Below are 6000 nucleotides of genomic sequence, written 5' to 3' on the forward strand. Positions count from 1 at the left end.
CCATTTCACATATAAGCAAACTGGGCTCTGAAAGAGACACCTTCAGTGGTTACCATTATTGGGAACTACTAAAGCACCTGCCATGAGCTTTATAAATATCATTAATCCTTAAAGCATATCAAGTAGGCATTACCTCTATTTTACAGGTTCAGGTAGCTTAACTAACATACTAGATTATATAGCTAGCATAGCACATGGAAGAGTCAGGTTTTAAACTGGGGACTCCATAGCACCATAGACTCTACTTTTTGTATACTATGCACTGCCATGGTCATATGGCTAGTAAGTGGTAGGGTTGTGAGCACACTCTAGGATTTTAACATCTAATTCAGTATTCTGTTCTTTATAATGTGCAGGCTCTGAATATTCTGAATGTTGAAAAAGATTGATACACATGTAGACATGTGCATGCCTACACACAGAGTTTTAAACATTTTAGTATAATTTCTTCCAAATAACCCATTTATTTATAAACTTTGATTATTTTGAAAGTGCATAGTTTATATTTTAATGTTTTAACCTAAATCTACATTTGCTGTCATTAGAAGAATGGAGTGTCATGCTGGATTTCTGACCCTGTGGGTGATGTTGGATAATGACCCCAACCTCTTAAAAAGAGTTGTTAACATTTAGTGTTTTTTGTTTCAGTTTGCAAATGAGGCTCACGTCAGTTTGGGTTTTATTAGAGAATGGAAGTTCCAGTTTAACTCCCTGAGAGTGCTGATTTATTATAGGAAAATGCTGGCAAACATTTTAGACTTACAAAATGACTTCTAATCACAGTTCAGGCTAAATTTGTTCTTCTGCTGATTTAGAATGTTGGAGAGTGAGAAGAGTGAGGAGGAGGGACAAGTTAGGCTGTCCTTATTGAATTCATGCCACGTTCCAGATAAGAAGCTGCCTTCCTTGCCCTGGAAGATGCTGTGACCCTGGCTTTGCCTTCTGGCTGAATGCACTACGAAGCAGGAAGAAAGCTTCAACCCCAGCTCTAACAATCCACTGCCATTTAACACTGGTTCACTTGGCATTTCCCCTGAGGTTCTTCAAAACGCTAGCCCTTTGAAATGTTTGTCATGTCAGGTCCACGTGAGTCACCTGCTCAGGTGTCCCCAAGGCCCGTTACACAGTGGGACTGTGGCTCTAAGGGGTCCCAGGCCCTCTCCACTGAGCTCTTCTATGAAAGGAAGATGACTTACCAAACGACCTTACTGGGACTTTGCACTATTTTTAAATTTTCTTCTAGAAGATGAAAGAAATTAGCTCTTCTCCCTTTTTCTTTCTCTCTGGTAGTGAGTATAATAATTTCTCCTGATGAACAGAGTGTCCATGGAGAATTTTTTCATGCTGGAAATAAGGCAGATGGCTTGGGTGTTGTCTCAGATCATCAGTAAAGGCCCCAGCTAAGTTAATGACTAGAAGGGCCTGGAAGAAATTAACATGCTTCTCAGGGTAAGCTGTGGCTTGGGGAAGTTGGTGAGGATGCTGGAGGATGTCTGACAGAGGGAGAGAAAATAGGGTTCTTTTGACTTCTGGGCTTCAGCACTAGCCCTCGTGATCCTGCCATTTCCAGTGTGATCTGCAGTGTGATCTGCATGCACAGGGTAGCAGCCTAACTGAGCCTTGTGAGTGGGTGGGCTTGGATGCTCGCTAGCTGGCCTTCCAACTCCAATATTCTGATCTACATAAAATGCTGAGTGAGTGGGAAGTGTTGATCATGTTTAATACTGAGTAATTTTCTTAAGAACTTGAGTATGTCATACATTTCTTTTTTCAGCTTTGGAAATGATTCACTTTTATGACACATGAATAAGACTTTTATTCACTAAAGAACCTCAAGCATAATAGCAAGTGAAGGAGGATGGAATTATCTTAAAGGGCTGTTCTGCAGTGCCTCCCCGTCAGGAGAGCCAAGTAGACAGTGAAGAGAAGCTATTTAGGGCAGTACAGTTAGAAACATTCCCAGCAGGGCCTTCACAATGCTCAGGTTACAATTCCCAGTTAAGAGAAATGTCCTGAGGTTGCACAGGTATAAAGGTGACCTGTGAGGTACTTGGCTGTCTTGGGCTTTAACACCAAAATTTGAAAGCTGAGGCTGACCCTTTATCACTGGCTTTCCTCCCAGAGTCTGACCTAGGGCAAATAGATGCCTGACAGTTTTAAGTTCTCCAGTTTCTGTTCAGCTGAGACCTGAGTGTCAGGTCAGCTAACAGGCTCCCCGTTGGAGAAACATGACTCTAGGTTTCAGTGCACTGAGAGATGTTAACTTCTGCCTGGTCTTAGGGTACAGCCCCACCTGGGTGCCAGCTCCAAGGGCAGACTATGCGCTCACCAGGTTCATCTGATAATGCAGTGGGCAGACATAGCTATGTGCTGTTCACTTGCTCTGTGCCCTCATGCCCAGTCTAAGACTGTCCAAGGCCCGGCCTAGTCTCTGCTTTATCTGGAAGAAGACAAGAGCATTTTCCTGGACTGACAGCCCAGAAGGTACTCATCTCCAACCTGGATCAGAGCCCTATTTTCACCAGTAACTCTTGAGTCATCTTGTACCTCTGAGCCTCAGCTTCCTCGTCTGTAAAATGTAAGCTTTATTTTATAAATATTGAGTGTCTGCTACTTACCCAGATGCTGCCTAAGGTATTGTGAATACAGTGGGGGACAGCAGGGACAAATAAGACCCACTCCTCATAGAAACAAACCTCATAAGATCTTAAGAGGATTCCACGAGATAATATGTGTAAAATGTTAGCATCTTGTCTGACCCTAGTGGTTGCTTTCTACGTTAGCTTTAATGAGTTTTCCTCCAAAGATGATAGAAAATATTTCAAAGTATGTCCTTTCCTGCCTTGGTCTGTGCACATGCATTTCTGCCAAAAAGGCTCTTCCTTAATTCCTATGCCTAGCTAACTCCTGTTCATCCAGTTCTCAGTATAAATGGTCACTTCTTCAAGGTGGCATTTTTCTGACCAGTCCATCCTTAGATCCCCCTGTTGTTTGTTCCCAGGGCAACTGGTACTATACTTTGAGGTATCCATCCTCTTGATAACTATGACTTATTTAGTGTCTGTTTCCCTGACTAGACTGTAAAGCTAGTGTAAACAGCATCCATGTTCACCAGAAATCTTGATGCTGAGCTTTGAGATTCTGCATAAACATCTGACCATCTTGCTGATATTTGAAGGGAATGTTCCCTTTCACATGAGAAAATTACATTGGACCAGAAAAGAAGAATCTGGCCCACCAGGAGCACATGGGTCCTTTCTTCCCTCTTTTCTCTCTCCTACCATGAAGAGGAGGGACGGCCAAGAAATGGCTGAAGAAAGGCCATTCCCAGGGCTGTACCCACATCTCTTAGAAGTAGCAGGTAGTCAGGGAACATAGGATGGAGAGTTGGGTTCCCCATTGTTCACAGGAACTTACCCAGTACCCATTCAAGGACCTACTGGGAATGGGGCAGTAAGGGTCTTCTTTGATACCATCTGCCACAGCCACACCCTTGTCCGTTCTCACCACAGCCAGGCAGCATGACTTAAAGGAGGTCTTGTTTCTTGTAACTATAGATAGTAGAAGCTTGATAAAATGAAATCTAAGGTCATAAGACTGGAATGGTGTCAGCCGCAGAAACGTCTCTGTCACCTTGTGTGAAAGATGCCCCCAGCCTCAGTACCTTTTGGAAGAGACCTTGGCAAAAATACAGCTGTTTACATGTGACTCACCAGAAATGTGAATGTTCTTGCCCTTTTGTGCCCTGTGGGATTTAACAAAGCAGCAATGTGACCTGACCCCAGTGGTTTTCTTTTGGCCAGAATCCAAGTCCTCCAGGCAGTGCTGGACTTCCCACATGCATTCCTGCCAGCCCACTATATGGAACTACAGGGCAGTCCTCTCTGCCAAGCCTTTCTAACCTCTATGTCTTTGTCCAGGCTGTTCCCTCAACCAGAAGTTCCTTTTTTCCATACATACACATATGAATAAACCTCAATTCATTCTTCAAGACTAAGATGATATCACTCTATAACTCCTCTAATCACCCTCTTTCCCCAAATTGGAGTTAGTTATTCTGAACCCTTATACCAATGTAGTGAGGTTATGGATTTCCCGCTCAGTCATCTGAAGGCAGAAACCAAATCTCGTTCATATTTGTGTCCCCTTCCACTAATATAGTATCTGCACCTATAATTTGTTACAGTATTCTACACTGTAGGTGCATAATGAATAAATAGCTGAAAGCTGGGCATTTGCAAGGTGTGTGCTGGCCAGTGGGTCAGCCAGGATGCCTAAGGGCAAAGGCACATGCCAGAAACCACTAATGGAGACTTTTGTGGACAAATTGTTGAAACAGTGAGAAGTTGTTAAATCCTTGTGGGTAAGAAAATGGCATAAGGAAGTAGTACTTTGGATACAGTCTTTGAGGGCATGGGTACAATGATGTTAAAGGAAGAAAACTGACATTTATTCTATAGATGGGGGAACTGAGGCTTGGGGAAGTTAAGTGATTTGCCAAAAGACACACAGCTAGTAAGCAAAGGAAACTGGTTTAGAATCTAGATCTGGTTTCAAAGTTTGTGTTCTTAAACAGTATGTGAAAACTCAACCACATCTGCATACACTACCTTGAACTAGTGTCCTTTAGATCTTCAGGGTATTCCCCTCCCAACTGTGTTAAGTTTGATGGCAGAATATCACTAGCCCTCATGGGGCCTCAGTTTCCTCTTCAGTAAATGAGGATAGTTGGGCTAAGTGACTCTAAGGCCACTTTTAGGCTCTGAGATGCTATGATTCTCTGTAGAATACAAATGGACTTTCTAACCTGGAAGTCAGCTTGGTCAAAACATGAGCGTACTTGTGTATTGGGCCTGAAAATCCTTCTCAGGTGTTGCAGTCATGATTCCAATACACACAAAAAGCTGGGAACTATTATCTTAGAGGTCTAATCATTTGTCCCAAATGAGTATTCAAATACACTCAGGCATCTAAGTTTTCTGAACTCATAGAAAGTTCCTGTTTATCCGAAGTCTACTTAAGTCACAGCAAAGTTTCCACTCATTCTCCAGGCTTTCCATGTTATTCCAAATCACACTGAAATAAAGTTCAGTATTGCATTACCCACACCTATGGCACCCAACCCCCAGGCCCCCACCACCTCACCCCATCACACAAGTCTCAATCAAGCATACATGCACTTCTCTGACACTAGGCTGAATCTTAGGGTGGAACACATCTGAAAATGTCTGTGTGGTTCAGAATGAACTCTGAAAAAGTTTCCGCCCATACCATTGAATAACATCCTGTTGTTTTGGCTTTTTTTTTTCTATCAAATCTGTGCAATAATGCCTTTGATTTGGCTTTCATTTACAATGATCTGCCTGATACCATTTCTCTGAAACATTCGGAACCAGATACAATCTTATTATAGTCAGCTACATAAAGTGGACCTTTCAGAGCATAAAGAAACATCTGTCCTCCATCTGTTGTGCCTGAAAAATAGGACTTTCAATAGAGCACTTTGTAGGGCACTAGTGCTTTTAATGGGCAAGAAATCCATTTCTGACTAAAATCTCAATAAATATATCTAAAAGAATATTTTCATCTTACAAACTGTCTTTCAAAGAGCACTTCAAAGGCCACTCTAGCAAAGTGGCATATTAAGAACATCGTCTCTAGACTCAGCCAAACCTGGTTCAAATACTTGCTTTGTGGATATACTGGCTGTGTGATCTTGGAAAGTTATTTAACCCTGATAATTTTAAGTTTTCTCGGGGATGTAAAATAGAATGCTAGCATCTACCCTGAGAGATAATATTTTTAAAGAGACTGGCACATGGTACAGCACCAAATACACATCAGCTGCTGTTCCTGTTTTGTTATTGCTGCTAATACTAGGAGCGGAATGGCCTGATTCCTGATGCAGCTGAATGAACACGGGATTTGGAATCAGAAAACCTGATTTTGCACTCTACCATTGCCACTGACTAGTCAGATGACCCTGGGGAAATCACTGAA

The sequence above is a fragment of the Homo sapiens genome, chromosome 1, assembly GCF_000001405.40.
Source record: "Homo sapiens chromosome 1, GRCh38.p14 Primary Assembly".
Classification (NCBI taxonomy): domain Eukaryota; kingdom Metazoa; phylum Chordata; class Mammalia; order Primates; family Hominidae; genus Homo; species Homo sapiens.